This window comes from Homo sapiens, chromosome X (genome assembly GCF_000001405.40).
Source record: "Homo sapiens chromosome X, GRCh38.p14 Primary Assembly".
NCBI classification, from domain to species: Eukaryota; Metazoa; Chordata; class Mammalia; order Primates; family Hominidae; genus Homo; species Homo sapiens.
The window spans coordinates 113,604,950-113,622,246 of NC_000023.11; the positions used below are offsets into that span (position 1 = coordinate 113,604,950).

The 17,297-nt window shown below is 35.9% G+C and overlaps 1 long non-coding RNA gene across 1 annotated transcript; it reads right to left on the minus strand.

Moving 5' to 3' along the window:
- Positions 1-11,350: 11,350 nt before the first annotated feature.
- On the minus strand, positions 11,351-13,204 carry XACT (X active specific transcript; the record flags this gene model as incomplete). Its single annotated transcript, NR_131204.1, is given in 2 exon segments — positions 11,351-11,725; positions 13,109-13,204. It is a non-coding gene; the product is annotated as a X active specific transcript (long non-coding RNA).
- Between the last annotated feature and the right edge of the window lie 4,093 nt (positions 13,205-17,297).

Genomic DNA, 17,297 nt, shown 5'->3' on the forward strand with positions numbered 1-17,297 from the left:
TCATCACGTGGCCTCATTTTCTTTCCTTTTTGTAGAAACATTATTCTCCCACATACTCTTGCTTATTTATTTATATATTTAATTTTATTTCCTCTCTCTCCTTATGAATGTAATTCTCATGATAGCAAGTGCCTTATGTCTTGTTCAGTGTGTCATATACTATAGCTGTTGAATAAACATTTGTTGAATTAATTTTTTAAATTATTTGCTGCAAATTATTCATTGACTGAAAGTATTCATCCCCTTATTTGGCACTATTGTATGAAGCATTTTGTCAGCACCTTCAATTTTAAATTTGCGGTTACAGTGTGAACTAAGACACAGAGAGTTTATTTTCTGCTATGGAGTACTGAGAATTTAAAGGTGGAAACTAAAAAGAATGGATGCATGTGCAAGAATGAACTGAAGGAATTGACAGGTCTGAGTAGTTTAATAAGGGGTGAACAGGATAAATTAGTTTCCCATTCTTATCTGAGGGAGTTAGTATGTTAAGGGAAAAGTAAGAAGGAAACTAGGTAACTGAAGGACATTCATAGAAATGTTCAATAGGCAATTTACATCAGGGAACTTGAGCGCTGATGTTACGATAGGTTAAGCCTAAAAATCTAGAGAAGGTGATTGAAGGTATAAGATAGAATTCACCAGAGTAATAAGTTTAGAACAGTAATTCCAGGGTCAGGAAGTGAACCTTAGTAAATTCTTACATTTGAAAAAATTTGGAGGAAAGCTAAAAACAATAGAGACAAAGAAATGGTAATTAGAAAAGTAGAAGATGAAGCTGAATAATAAAATATCTTGGAAACCAAAAGAGTAAAAGTGCTCCAAGCCAGCCTTGAGAGACCAGTTAACAGTGTCAAATGCTACAGAAAAACTGAGATAGAATACCAAAAAATTGACTGGATTTTGTAGTTATGACATTAATTACCTTCAACAAAGCAGTTTTGGGGAATTGGGAGGCTAGAAAAAAAGACGATTTTATGAAATTAAAGAGTGAAAGAGCTGTGGCTTAATGAAGATAAGTAATATAATTAATTCCTATAAGAAATAGATATTCACCAAACCATTCATTCAACAAGTACCTGATCGTCCGCTATGTGCCATGCACAGTACTACATGCTGGGCACATGTGATGCCTACACTTAGATGGAGACACATATTTTAATCAAATATTTGTACATATAAACTAATGTGAATTATAAAACTCTGATAAGTGGTATGGGTGAGGAGTATTTGGTTCCAGAGAATGTCAGGTATGAAGATGCGAACTAGGCTTGGAATGATACTGTGAGAAAGTAGTAACAGTCTTCAGGGCAGTGTAGAGTATGAGGATGAAAGAGGAAACAGCAATGCCAAATGATTTTATTTAATTTTTAAATAAATATTGGAGAAAATTATGCATATTTAAAGGCAGAAGAAAAGGAGCTATGGTAATATAAGTGGAAGTGGGTATGTGGGTTGTGGGGGGTGGACAATTTTACTGTGTTTAGAAATGGCCTCAAAAAGTATCTGTATTCTGACAGGATTTTCACAATTTCAGAGTTATAGACTTATTTAGATCAATTTAGCAGATGAGATTTGACTCTTGGGTATTGCTAGCTATACTCTTAAGAGAGTGATTTTTAAAAAGCAAAAAACATCAATATATGTGTTAACACTAAGCAATAAAAGTGCCAAGTGGAACAGAAGCTTCCTATTGACTAACTTGCACGCCTGCCCAGTAGGGAAACCAAGTCAATATCAGAGAGTTGCTTGATGAGAGGTCAATGCAGTGATTTCAAGACAGCGTTGAAGTTAGAATTACCCATTGTGAAAATAAATCTCTAGAGGAGGTAGAAAGAATAAGAGAGGAAAAGGTTTTGTGGAAGAGTTTAAGAATGCTATCAATAGATTGGTTATACTACAGTATGATAAGCTGAAATTTGCCTTTATTTTCAGTGCTGAGTAAAAGCGAATATGAAATTGAGAAGACAGGCTCATTGAAAAAGATTTTCCCAGGGCAATAACTGAATATCAGTTTAGTAAATACCAAGGTATTTGTAACAAATTTAAATTTTTATAGTGCTGTTCAATTTGAAGTATTCACATGAAGTACACATTTATACAGATTTGTATACACTCACACACCCCTACACATTCATTCCCACAGAATGGCCATAGAAGAAAAATTATTAATCGTTTATCTGAATATCTTGAGATTGCTGTTCTTTGCAACTTTCATAAACTATTCAGCAGCCTCATGACCTACCTAGGACAGAATCAAGTAAACTTAAAATGTTAAGAAATGCTTGGAACCATTTTTCTATTTTCACATGGGATATCTCATCACTGTCCCCTATCCTGACTCTCTATTTTTAATCACATGTATACCATAAGTCAAATTAAATCTACTCATGGCTTTTTTTCCATCTGTTCAATTTCTGAAACATGTGTCCGACAGGAATCATGTTTATTCGGAATGCGAATTTCCCTAAACATACCATATAAGTAGCGGGTTACAATTGAAGGGTATGTTTTTCCAGTTAGATTTACTCTATCTTATATTTCCTAGTCAGTCAAAATTCTCTGAGCTTCTTTAGGCTTTCAGACCATATATAGCCCTCTTTTATTCTAGCAAAGATATGAAAACATGTCTTTCCTTATTACTCCAGCAAACACAATATTGAAAATGTTTTAAAAACAGAGAAAATCTGTACAAAATTTGATTTGATGATATTACAGAAGTCTCCGTGGTACACCTTAGGTAGAATAGAGTCTTTAGTTCTTTTCTCATCCTTTAACCTTGTCTAGGCTGTGTGCAAAACATAAATAATATAAATTGTCTGATGGAAATATGGGCAAACCCCACTAGGAAGGCTGGTGGGAGCCACAGATTCCCCCAGAAGCTGTTTACTCTTCATCTCTTCATGAGTAAACAGGTGAAGGATCTATATTAATTTTGCTCTGCAGATGACCTAATCCCTTACAAGTTCTGCTTCAGTCTCAGATCTTTCACTATTAAGCTGCAGAAGGCAGCTTTGAATCTGATTTAGAAAATCACCTCCACTCAGTTTCACATTGCCCTAATCTAATTTTTGGTGTACTAGCTTTTCCCCTTTTGTATGGGTCCAGTGTTATGTTAATGTGATCTCATCCACAGATCATTGTTTTTGACAATTCAAATAAAAATAGAGAGCAATGTGCCTCAAAATGTGCTCCACAGGCCCTGCAAGAGACACAATTGGCATTCTATTCAGATCATCTTAGATCTATCTCTTCTCCTCTGCTTGAATGTGGGTTTGTTTATAAGAACCTGCAGGAAAAAGTCTTCTTTGAGAGACTGACTAGGTTACTATAGCCACACACTCAGACATATACATGCAGAGCCAGAAGTACCTGGGAGTTAACAACTCAGCCTATGACTTACAGTTGAGGCAGGGTATAAAAACCTACCTCCTTTGACTCAAGTTGGGACTGACTGAATTTGAAATTTATGCCCTTAACCTCTCCAGAGGATCAGACCTGAGGCTGAGACTTTGCCCAAAATGTCACTCCTGTTTGGCTTCTTTGCATTTTCTCTACTCTGTTTCCTTTCCTTTATTATTTTCTCCTAGGAGCATTTTCTTAATAAATGAATCCTTATCTTAGGGTCCACTTTTGGGGACTACAATCTAAGATATACCTCTTTATCGGAGTCACCTGTGATGCCTGTTAGAGTTGTTGATACCTGGCCCAATCCCAAGGAGTGAAATCTGCATTTTTATTAAAAAAACTCGGAATAATGTTTATGCATAGCAAAATTTAAGAGCCAATGGTTTGAGTCACAATTATTAGCCAGTTATTGGTGATTCTAAACCTAGGTTTCTTTCTTAGTCTGTTTTGTGCTGCTATACAGAATGCCTGACACTGAGTAACTTATAAGAAACAGAAATGTATTTCTCGCAGTTCTGGAGACAAGGAAGTCCAAGATCAAGGCATCAGCATCTAGTGAGGGACTTACTGCATCTTCACATAGTGGAAAGCAGGAAGGTAAGAGGGACAAACTCCCTCTGTCAAGCCCTTTTACAAGGGGCATCTAATCCCATTCACCAGAGAGAAGCCCTCATGGCCTAATCAACTCTTAAAGACTCTAATACTATCTCATTGGCAACACCCGAATTTTGGAGAGGATACATTCAAACAACAGCAGTTTCTATCCAACCTACTTGCTTAGCCCCTCTAAATGATCAATACCATCCTCCCTTGATACCTGCCTTCTTCACATCACCTCCCTCCAATATCCAGAATGACAAAAAGTAAATAGACATTTTGTCATTTATTTTCTTTTACAAAATAAATTTTAAGCTTCAAATAATTTGTACATGGCAGAGGCTTCATAAATAAAATGTAGCCAGATGGGCACAGTGGCTCATGCCTGTAATCCCAGCACTTTGGGAGGCAAAGATGGGAACTCGCTTGAGCCCAGGAATTCAACACCAGCCTGGGCAACATGGTGAGATTCCATCTGTACAAAAAATGAAGAAAAATTAGCCAAGAATGGTAGCACACATCTGTTGTCCTAGCTACTCGGGCAGCTGAGGTGGGAGGATCACTTGAGCCCAGGAGGTCAAAGCTACAGCGAGCTATGATTGTACCACTGCACTCCAGCCTGGGTGACATAGGGAGACCCTGTCTTAAAAAAATAATAATAAAATATTCACTCTTTTGGGAATGGTCATAAAAGGAGTTAAAAATATTTACTCTTGAATTTTGGAGTTTATATAAAGTTATGAAAAATATTGACTATAAAACATGAGTAAGTCTAATTTTGATTTTGAATGTGTTTTCAGAATAAGCTGTAAATTCCTGAGCTTAAAATTCAAGTTCTTCTATAATCTAACATTAAACTACACTGACCTTGTTCATTAATCTAATTGTGTGTTACTTTGTATTTTTAGAGACAACTACTGGTCTCTAATGACATAAACTGTGTTTTTTATAAAATCTCTTCAACTATTATTTACATATAATAACATCACCACCCACAAATTTCTCCAATAAAGCCCCGGAATGTAGAAAGAACTTGTCTCAAATTTGAGAAGGCAGGATGATTCACAGGAACACACATTATGTTTATACCTGCTAGATTTAATTTTAGGTGAAGGTGGAGATGTATGTTGCTTTTTGTCTAAATGTGAATCTGTACATCATTTTGTAGGGTCACAAGGCACTTTAGTGGAAGAAATTGATTTGCTAGCTCTCTCCCCTTTTCAGTCATATAACCAATATTCTTTGACGGAACAGAACTCTCACATCCCATAAGGCTTGAAATTATATTTATAATCAACGCTTGTTATTGCACTGAGCCTATTCTATAGCCTTTGTATTTTTATCACAATGATTTTTCTTCTTCAACTTGTTCATGTTTTGGATTATATTGACTGATTTTCAAATGTTGAACTAGTCTTGCATATCCACAATAAATCTCACTTGGTCATGGTAGATAATTCTTTTTATACATTGTTGGATTTGATTTGTTAGTTTTTTGGTCAAGTATTTTTGTATGCATGTGTATGAGATATATTGGGGAGTAGTTTTCCTTTCTTGCAATGTTCTTATCTGGTTTTGGTATTAGGGTAAATCTGGCCTTATAGAATTAAATAGAAAAGGTTTTCTCTGCCTCTGTTTTCTGGAAAACATTGTGGAGAATGGGCATCATTTCTACCTTAAATGTTTGGTAGAATTCATCAGTGAAACCATCTGGGGATGGTGCTTTCTTTTTTGGAAAGTTATAAATTATTGCTTCAATTTCACTAATATATATGGGTCTATTCAGATTCACACAGGTTTCTGTTTGTGTGAGTTTTGATAGTTTCTGTTTCTTAGGGAATTGATCCATTTTATCTAAGTTATCAAACGTATGGACAGAATGGTTTGTACTGTCCCTTTATTAGCATTTTAATGTCTTCAGGATCAGTAGGGATAAGTCCTCTTTCAGTTCCAATATGGAAATATGTGAATTTTGTTTTCTTCTTGAGAAGCCTGGATAGAGATTTTTGTTTGTTTGTTTTTTTCAATTTTATGAAACTTTTTGAAGAACCAACTTTTGGTTTTGTTGATTTTCTCTGTTAATTTCCTGTTTTCACTTTCATTGATTCCTATTCTAGTTTTTATTTATTTTTTATTTATATATATATTTATTATACTTTAAGTTCTAAGGTACATGTGCACAATGTGCAAGTTTGTTACATATATATACTTGTGACATGTTGGTGTGCTGCACCCATTAACTCGTCATTTACATTAGGTATATCTCCTAATGCTATCCCTACCCCCTCCCGCCACCCCACAACAGGCCCCGGTGTGTGATGTTCCCCTTCCTGTGTCCAAGTGTTCTCATTGTTCAATTCCCACCTATGAGTGAGAACATGCGGTGTTTGGTTTTTTGTCCTTGCGATAGTTTGCTCAGAATGATGGTTTCCAGTTTCATCCATGTCCCTACAAAGGACATGAACTCATCCTTTTTTATGGCTGCATGGTATTCCATGGTGTATATGTGCCACATTTTCTTAATCCAGTCTATCATTGTTGGACATTTGGGTTGGTTCCAAGTCTTTGCTATTGTGAGTAGTGCTGCAATTATTTATTTTTTCTGCTTGCTTTACACTCAAATTGTTCTTGTTTTTTTTTTTTTTTGGTTCCCTAAAGTAGCTCAGATTATTGATTTTAGAAATTTCTTTATTTTAAATATATACATTTAGTGCTATAAATTTCCCTCTAACTCACACTTTTGCTGCATTCCACAAATTTTGATAAGTTGTATCTTCATTTCATTTACTTCAAAATATTATGAATTTCCTCTTGATACTTTTATGTGGCTTATGTGTTATTTATAAGCGTGTTGTTCAATCTACAGATATTTGCAGATTATTCAGGTCTTTCTGATATTCATTTCTAGTTTAGTTCCCTTATAATATAAGAACATAGTTTGTATTGTATCTATTTCTTTTAATTTGTTGAGGTGTGTTTTATGGCCCAGAAAATGATCAATGATGGTGAATGTTCCAGGAAGCTTAAGAAGAACATATATTCTGTTGGTATTGGATGGAGAAATCTATAAATATCAATTAGCCCTCTTTTATTGACAGTCCTGTTACGTCAACTATATGCTTGCTGATATTCCACATGCTTAATCTATTAATATTGAGAGAGGGGTACTGAAGTTTCCAACTATAATAGTGAATTCATCTATATCTTCTTGAAGTTCTGTCAGCTTTTTCTTCGTGTATTGTAATGCTCTGTTATTAGGTGCATACACATTAAATATTGTTATGTCTTGCTAGAGAATTGACCTCTTTATAACTATACAATTTCCCTCTTTATCCTTGATAACTTTCCTTGTTCTGAAGTCTGTTTTGTCTGAAATTCACATAGGAACTTTATCTTCTTTTCCTTAGTGTTATCATGCTATATTGATATAGCTGGATTAACATATACCATGTTTGTTATTTTCTATTTGTTACACTTGTACCTTGTTTCTTTTTTGCCACTCTTTTTCAATGTTCTCTGGTTTTGAATATTTTTATGACTCCATTTTATTATTAGTTTTACTTTTAAAATTTTGGTAATTGATGTTTACAATACATATTCACAACTAATTAAGCCCACTTTTAATAACACTATTCCACTTTACATGTGGTGCAGCTACTTTATAAAAGGGTATTAGGAATTTTTTCCCTCCTATTCCATATTTTATTGCTATCATTCCTTTCATTTATTTATATGCTATTATCATTCAATATACTGCTACTTTCAGTCTTTTAAACAAAGTTATGTTTTTGATCAATTAAGACTAAGAAAAACAAAAGATTTTATTTTACCTTCATTTCTTACTTCTCTAAGGCTTTTCCGTTGTTTATGTAGTTCCATATTTGTGACCTCTGTCATTTTCCTTCTGCTTATAGAAAATGTGTTAATTTTTTTGCAGGAAAACTCTGCTAGTGATAAATTCCCTTTTCAAAATAATAGATTTCATTTTTTAGAACAGTTTTAGTTCCACAGCAAAATTAAGAGAAAAATATAGGTAGTTCCTATACACTCCTATCCCCACAGGTACACAGCCTCTCCCACTATTAACATTCTGCACCAGGCCGGACACAGTGGCTCATGCCTGTAATCACAGCACTTTGGGAGGCCAAGGTGGGCAGATCACGAGGTCAGGAGCTTGCAACCAGCCTGGCCAGCATGGTGAAACCCCGTCTCTACTAAAAATATAAAAATTAGATGGGCATGGTGGCATGTGCCTGTAATCTCAGCTACTCAGGAGGCTGAGGCAGAAGAATCGCTTGAACCCAGGAGGCGGAGGTTGCAGTGAGCCGAGATCGTGCCACTGCACTCCAGCCTGGGTGACAGAGGGAGACTCCATCTCAAAAAAAAAAAAAAAAAAAAAAAAAAAAAAAAAATTCTGCACCAGAGTGGTACAATTGTTACAATTAATGAACCTATTTTGACACACCATTATTGCCCAAAGTCTATAGTTTACATTAGGGATCACTCTTGGTGTTGTACATTCTATGGGCTTTAACAAATCTATAATGGCATATATCCACTATTATGGTATCATGTTGAATAGTTTCACCACGCTAAAAATTCTCTGTACTCTGCCTATTAATTCCTTCTTCCCCGTAACCCCTGGCAACCACCGATCTTTTTACTTTTGCCATAGTTTCCCTTGTTCCAGGATGTTACATGATTAGAATCATACCATACGTAGCCTTTTCAGTTTGGCTGGCTGCTTTCACTTGATAGTATGCATTTAAGGTTCTCTATATCATTTCACGACTATATATATATTTTTAACCTATGTCATTTTCTTTCTGCCTATAGAAAAATGTGTTAATTTTTTTGTAGGAAAAGTCTGCTAGTGATAAATTCCGTATATATATATATGTAGGGCTGAATGCTATTCTATTGTCTGGATGTACCAGTTTATCAATTCACCTACTGAAGGACATCTTCATTGCTTCCAAGTTTTGGCAATTATGGATAAGCCTGCTATAAACATCTCTACAGGTTTTTGTGTGGATGTAGTTTTCAACTCATTTGGGTAAATACCAAGGAGTGTGATTGCTGGATCATATAGTATAAATATGTTTAGTTTTATAACAAACTGCCAAACTGTCTTTGAAAGTGGCTATATCATTTTGCATTCCCACCAGCAATATATGAGAATTTCTGTTGCACCATCTCCTCATCAGCATTTGGTGTTGCCAGTGTTTCAGATTTTTGTCAGCCTAGTAGATGTTTAGTGGTATGCCTCCACTTTTGAAGTATAATTTCACTGGATATAGAATTCTAGTTTGTGGGGGCTGGGCCCGGTGACTCACACCTGTAATCCCAGCACTTTGGGAGGCCGAGGCAGGCAGATCACCTGAGGTCAGGAGTTTGAGACCAGCCTGGCCAAAATGGCAAAACCGCTTCTCTACTAAAAATACAAAAATTAGCTGGATATGGTGGTAGGCGCCTGTAATCCCAGCTATTCAGGAGGCTGAGGCAGGAGAATCACCTGAACCCAGGAGGTGGAGGTTGCAGTGAGACAAGATTGTGCCACTGCACTCCAGCCTGGGCAACAAAGAGATACTTCATCTCACCAGAAAAAAAGGAAAAGAAAAAAGAAAAAAGAAGAAAAAAAAGAATTCTAGTATGTTGGGTTTTCTTTTTTTCTTTCAACACTTTAAATATTTCACTTCACTCCCTTCTGCTTTCATGGTCTTGGATCAGAAGTCTGCTGTAATTCTTATCATTTTTTTCTGTATAAGTAAGATGGCTTCCTTCATCCCCACTCCCCAGGCTTTATTCAAGTTTTTTTTAATCTTTGTATTTTTGCTGTTTGAATATGATATGCCTATCTGTAGTCCTTTTCGTATATATTCTGAATGGTGTTCTCTGTACTTTCTGTATCTGTGGTTTGTTTTGTGTGTCATTAATTTTGAAAAGTTCTAAGCCATTCTCCTTTATTCTGAATAAGCACATATGTTGATATTATTCTACAGTTCTTACATATTCTTTTTTATTAATATTTTTTCTTTTTCATTTCAGTACAGGAAGTTTCCACTGACTTATCTTCAAGCTCACTGATTCTTTCCCTGCCCTATTCAGTCTATTGATGAGACCATCAGGGGCATTCTTCATCTCTGTTTTAATGCTTCTAGCATTTACTTTAGATTTTCCATGTCTCTGCTTACATTAACATCTGTTCTTGCATGTTGTAGATTTTTTTTTTCATTACATCCCTTAACATTTTAATCATGGTTATTTTCCAACGTCTCTGCCATATTTAAGTCTGGTTCTGATGCTTGCTTTTCTTTTCAGATTGCTTTTTTCCTGCCACTTGGCATACTATGCAATATTTTTTAAAGGCTAGATGTGTTGCATTAGGTAATAAGAGCTGTGGTAAGTAGGCTACTAGTGTGAGAATTTATGTTAATTTACCTAGGAGTCAGTTTTTGTTTAATATTAGCTGTAGCTGTAGTTACCAGATGCTTCAGATTCTTCCAGTGTCTTATTTTTGTCACTGCTCTTGACTATGGTATTCCCTAAGTATTCCTAAAATGAAGCTTGAGTCTTGCGGTTCTTTCAGCTGTAATATATTGTTATTATACTGGTAATCATGTCAAAGTGTGGAAAACTAGTCCTATATAATCTTCCACTTAATTCTCAGTCTTTTAGTGGCTATACATTTTGGCCTGTAACCTTTATAAATATTTTTTCTTGTATAGCTTAGTTTTTCTTCTATCTTCCACTTTAGATGAGACGCCTCTCTCACCTAAATACTAGAGGAGGCTAAATTGAAAAGAATGCCATCTTCTCAGGGCTCTGGGGCAAAGCTCCGTTAATTATTTTCCCCTGGAGAATAGGTCTTTGTTATGGAGAATGCCCTAGAAATGTTTCATAATGTTACCTTTCCTCTCCTCCTACCAGAGCCCTGCCATCTGTCTTGGTTCTTGGCAGTGAGAACATAGAAAACTTCCTGGAGGTAAAGTCCATGAAAGTGTGGGGGCATCCCTAAGACTGTGGCCCCCAGGAGTCTCTCATTTTCATGTTAGCCTACACTCAGTCTTCAGCAATTAGTTAAAATTACCATTTAGGTGTCCCTATCAATTTATGTATGGCTCTAGAGATTTATGCTCCATTCAAGGAAATTACAGCTGGGACTCAATGAATTTGCTAGTCTTTCCAGATTTCAAAAGGGCAGTTTGCTCTGTGATTTTACTTCTCTTCTGGGTTGAAGAAAAGTCATTCATTTTCAGTTTGTTCAACTTTTTTCTTATTGTAAGAAGAGTACTGATTACTTCTAGATTATTTACTTGTTAGAGCTGAAACCAACAAAAAGACGTTGTTCTTTGTATTTGAGTTTATTCTTTGATTAATTTGGCTTCAGCCCTCATTGTTTGTGGCATATCAGGGCCAATACAATTTATATTCTTTTCTTACTCCTCTTATCAAACAATGCCCTAATCCATGAACACTCACACTGTATCAAGTAAGATTCATTTTAGCTGCTCATAATGAAAAAAACCTAAAGTAACAGATTTTAAGGTGATAGAAGCTGTTTCTGTCTCATGTAAAGGAGGTTTGGAGATAGGCATTCCAGGCCGGTATAGAGATACCTTGGGGACATAGAGATTTAATTTCTTTATTTCTTCTATAACAGCCTTAACATGTAATTTCCAGTTCAGAATGGCTGCTGAATCTTCAGCCATTAACTTTCCTGTCAGGAGAAAGAAGACAGGAGGTTAAGGGAAAACAAGGGCATGCATCTGCCCATCTTTTAGAAACTTTCAAAATACTTTCATCCTATAACTTCTACATACATCTTAGTCTTAATACCACACCTAACTGTAAGAGAACCTGGGAAATGAAATCTTTTTTGCTGAGTGCATTGGAATCCCAATTAAAACAATAGTTAAGACACTAAGCAAAGAGTAATAATGCATATTGAGTTGACAAATAATAGACCCTGTCAACAAGATTCAAAATCAATAGAAATTGAAAGCTAATAGCAATTTGACTCCAAGTTATCTTTCTAAAACCAAAATTAAAGTGAACACACACACACACAACAACTACATTTGACCTTGTTTTCATTGGCTGATGGAGTAAAAATTCACGATGATACGGCTTTGATGACTGGCGGAACGCCAGGGTCCTTGGTTTTGCACCGACTAAGATAAAACGAGACCATCCTGGCTAACACGATGAAACCCCGTCTCTACTAAAAATACAAAAAATTAGCCGGGCGTGGTGGCGGGTGTCTGTAGTCCCAGCTACTCGGGAGGCTGAGGCAGGAGAATGGCGTGAACCTGGGAGGCGGAGCTTGCAGTGAGCGGAGATTGTGCTACCGCACTCCAGCCTGGGTGACAGAGCGAGACTCTGCCTCAAACAAACGAACAAACAAAAAAGATAAAACGACACAGACACACGTGGAGTGGTTTTAACAAGCGGAGAGTTTAATAGGCAAGAAAGAAGGAAAAAGCTCCCCCATTAAGAGACAGAGGGAGGGGGACTTCAATGAGTAAAACAAATCACTGTTTAAAACAAATTTCTAATCAGATCTTGCTTTGTGTTTCTGGAGATGGAATAAATATATTCCTATGATGGTTCACTTTCACATACTGGCTTGATTATTAGGCAACAACTGATGAACACAATTGTTGGATTTTTGGAAGAAGAGAAGAAGTGCCATGTGGGACCGCCAGTTTACTGAGAGGGAAAGTTGGGTTGGGGGAATCAAAGAAATAAGAAACAGCTATTTCAGCCTGAGCATTGTGCTTTTTATGTTTGATTCAACTACAGAAGTTACAAAGATAACATTTCTTTTTTATCAACAAAGTGGGGTGAGACATCACCACTAGGCCGTTATCTAATTGTTAAATTCAGCTAAAGAGGTGAAGGCATCACAGTTCTGTTTCCAATAGTAGAAACATTAGTCTAAAATTGGTCAATTCCTCCACAAATTTTTGAAAAGTAACTATATAGCAAATTCCTAAAATAAGAACTCACTTGATAGGTTCAATACCTGAATGTTTTTCTAATTTTCTATGTGATGCTACTTTAAATAAAACTGTAATTATGGGTTTAAACTTACACGTACTAAATTTTGAGACAAGTGATCAGGTTTAGGACATCATCAGCATGTTTACCAGATGATTTTCTATAGTTTCTGTGTTTTAATTGAAGTGCTTTGACACTGAGAAAGAAAGGAGAGAAAACAGTAAGGATTTAAATAATGTCAATTTCTACAGTTAAAAAAACGCTAATGATTGAAATGGATGAGCTACTGACATTGCCATATTTAAAGTGTTTATAAATAATTTTACATACTATATTGTGAAAATTATGACCTAATAAAATATAAACAAATTGATGATTTTTTCTGAAATCGAAAGAACTTAGGTTCAATCAGTTTCTTACACATCACTTATACATCACTGTGATGTTCGAGATTTACTATGATATCCCTGAGGTCCTGTAACTAGATCACAAGGTGCCTTCTCAGTAATTAAAGAATATAAATTGTGTTCAGTGTTGCCTACAGTGAAATGTCATTTTGTTGAAAAGGGGTAATTCATATAAAGTATATATGTTAATTGTCAGTGAAATAGAAGAACAAATGAACTGAATCATCCAATTAACCACCCGGACAAATGAAGATTTATTTGGGTCAAATAAAGGTACTCAGCTCAGTTTGAGGAATCACTTAAAGGGAGTTTGCTTACTGTGGTGTAAACGAACATTTAATACTTTTAGAGGTGCCCGCCTGGGCTGATACCCAAGCTATCTCAGCAAGGTCCTATTTCTCTATTGCTTGACTCATATGACTAAAATCTCTAAGAAGTAATTTCTCCTGAATTTACAGAATATGTATTATCATCTATGTTAAAGCAAGGTTTTTAAAAACGGAGTTAAGATTTTCATTTCCTTCATTATATTATCCTGTTTTTTTAAGCATCTGTCAGCCTGTGTAAAGCAGGGAAAATGGTGTAGTATTTTAAAATGTATGTAGGACTAAATGTAAAATCAAATAATATCCCTTTATAGCCAACTGTTATGATAATCTCTTTACAGCCAACTGACTGTTATGGTAATGTCTCAAACTCTAAATAAATAAACAAACTAAAAGCAAATAAACATAGCATGAATGATTGATTGCAAATGGAAAATAATTTTTAACAAATTGACAAAACAATGCAGTTTAGGGAATTATCTTCTTTCATCTTCCTCAGAATTTATAGGTTGACAAAGAGTGATTACTTTCATGATTGAGTTATATAAAATAATTTTACCAGTCTTTGTACAAATCAAAAACTTGTCATCCCTCAGACTCACAGTGCTTTTTTTTTTTTTTTTTTTTTTTTTGTTTGAGATGAAGTCTCGCTCTTGCCCCCCAGGCTGGAGTGCAGTAGTGTGATCTCGGCTCACTGCAACCTCCACCTCCTGGGTTCAAGTGATTCTCCTGCCTCAGCCTCTTGAGTAGCTGGGATTACAGGCACCTGTGACCACGCCTGGCTAATTTTTGTATTTTTAGTAGAGACAGGGTTTCACCATGTTGGCCAGGCTGGTCTCGAACTCCTGACCTCAGGTGATCCACCTGCCTCAGCCTCCTGGGATTACAGGCATGAGCCACCGCACCTGGCCCATAGTACTTTTTAAAAATAAATATGTTATTCCAGAATCAATTCAAGTACTATGAGATCTCTTACTTTTCTGGCTATGGACTGAATTTTGCTCCCCGAAAATTTATATGTTGAAGTCCTAACCTACAATGTGATGGTATTTGGAGATGGGGTTTTTGAGAAGTAATTAGGTCAAAAGGAAATCACTAGGATGGGGTCCTCATAATGGGATTAGTGCCCTTATAAGAAGAGACAAGACAGCACTCTTTCCCTCTCTCCTTCTCTCTCCAAACCTCTCCCTCTCTTTTTGCCATGTGAGGACATGGCAAGATGATGGCCATCTGCAAACCAGGAAGAGGACTCTCACTAGGAGCCAAATAAGCTGATACCTTTATCATGGAGTTCCCAGCCTCCAGAACTGTGAGAAATAAAGCTTTCCTCTTCCCTGGTTCTCCCACTTTTTTGTTTAAGCCATCAAGATTAACAGGAAAGCCCTGTGAGATGATTGTTCTTCCCTGGAGAAAATGGATAAAATATAGAAATCCTACTGTATCTGATAGGTTCGTCTCATTTTCCACAGTTCCTGTTGATCCTTCTTGGACCAGTACAATAGACATTCTAGCTGAGTGTCCTCCAGAGTTTCAGAAATTGGTCAGTATAGGAACTTAATTAACTCTAAGGGCTCCCTATTCCTGAAGCTGAATGTTTATCTCTTATTTTTTAGTTCAACTAATAATGTGTAAACCTACACTGTCCTACCTAATTCTTCAGAAAAGGTTATAAAATGAGTAGCACATTGTAGAAGAGCTCATATCAGAGGCTGATATGGGCAGTTGGTATAAGGTAGAATGAAACCTGCACAATACTGTTCACTATAGCCATGGCTGGAATCAGAGTTCAAGTTGAGATTATGTGAGGTGACACAAAAGAGATGACTGACACTACCATGCCCTCCATTAAGTGGAATAAATCTTGAAGTTGATGGCCAGTCACAATCTTTATGATAGTCTTAATACAGAAAGGTTAGTGGAAGAAGGTTAGTATCTGCTTGCTATTACTGATTTGGAGGCATAATTGATATTCATCCCCATCCTTCAGCATGTCACTTTACATGGTGATTAACAGTAAATAAGAGGGTGCATTTTCCAAACTCTTACCAATAATAGATATTGCTAGTAAAAACAAAAGTTACAATATCAGATGAAAAATTGAATCTTGTTCCTTTAATTTTGTTGCTTGATTTACATTGAATTTAAGCATATTTTACAGTGTCCTTTTACATTTCTTCATTTTTGAGGAATATATTCTTTTTTTTCTTATTTTTCTGTTGAACCTTTCTGTAAATTGTGTTGATTTTTAAAAGCTCAGGTACTAAGTTATACTGTAAGTCTGGAAAATGTGAATCACTCTTGGGAAACAGATGTGGGGCAATGGCAGTTTCATATTGGCTTTTAAATTGTACTGAATAGGTTGTTACTTATTCCTCTGCACTAATTGTAAAATAGACTGATATAATGAACCAGTTTGAATCACTAAACTTGAGCTTTAACCTGGGATTATGGTGAGTAGGTCATTCTGCCTACAAAAATTAAAAGAAGGGTACTTTTAAAGTGTATGCTATATTGATATTTCTGGATTCAGGTGTCATTAATTATTTGAACATATTTTCTAGCTCTGTTTAGATAATAGTGTGTGAATGAGATATGCTCATGCCCATTACTCTAATTTTCCCAATTGGTTATTACCAAGGTAGGGTATCAATTGAGTTTGCAGGTTTATCAGTCACCTGCAGCACTGTTTATATTATGTTGGCTTCTTTAAAACTCATGTCATGGAACCAATTTAATTTTCTACTCAAGAGCGCTGTTTAATTTACATTCAGTGTGTTCTGTTGTTTGAGATTTAGGCTTTTTCAGAAAATAGTTTTAGCAGAACACTTCCTGAGGCAGGTAATAAATTCTAAGTTGCAGAATGTCACTGAAGAAATTTATACAAGTGCCTGTTCATTAACTAAGCTCATTATGTAAATTAGCTTTTGAGTGGAGGTTACAGAAAGGCAAGTTTTGGTTCAAAACAAAGAATATTTAATAATTTTTACTGCTTAAAATTGGAGAACATTATTTCAAGATAGTGAGTTCTTAGTCATTATCAGTGTTAAATGTCCAGAGACTCAATTGTTTTAGAGGGAGACCCTGCTAGGAGTGAGGATTGACTGACTCACTGGTGTCTGTATAAGGATGGTCTAGGTTCAGCCACATTAACAAATAACCCTAAAGGAGGTTTAGAACAACCACATTTTCTCATATGCTAAAATCCAAAGAAGTTGAGAGGTGGAGCACAGCTGGCTCTGCTCATTCCCCTTGCTTCAGGACTCAGTTTGACAGAGGCTTCATCTTGAAATGAGCTTCTGTTCTTACTAGTGTATAGAAAAAGAAAGGTGGTGAACAAAATAATGGCTCTTAAAGGTTTCTCCCGTAAATGACACTCTATTTTTTTGGCCAAATATTATTCAGCCTTGAAAAAGGAGGAGATCCTTTCATTTGCCACAACATGGATGGACCTGGAGAACATTATGTTAAGTGAAATAAGCCAGAAAGAAAAAGATGGCATGATCTCAAAAAAGGTCAAATATATAGATAGAAAATAAAATAGTGGTTAGTAGGGTCA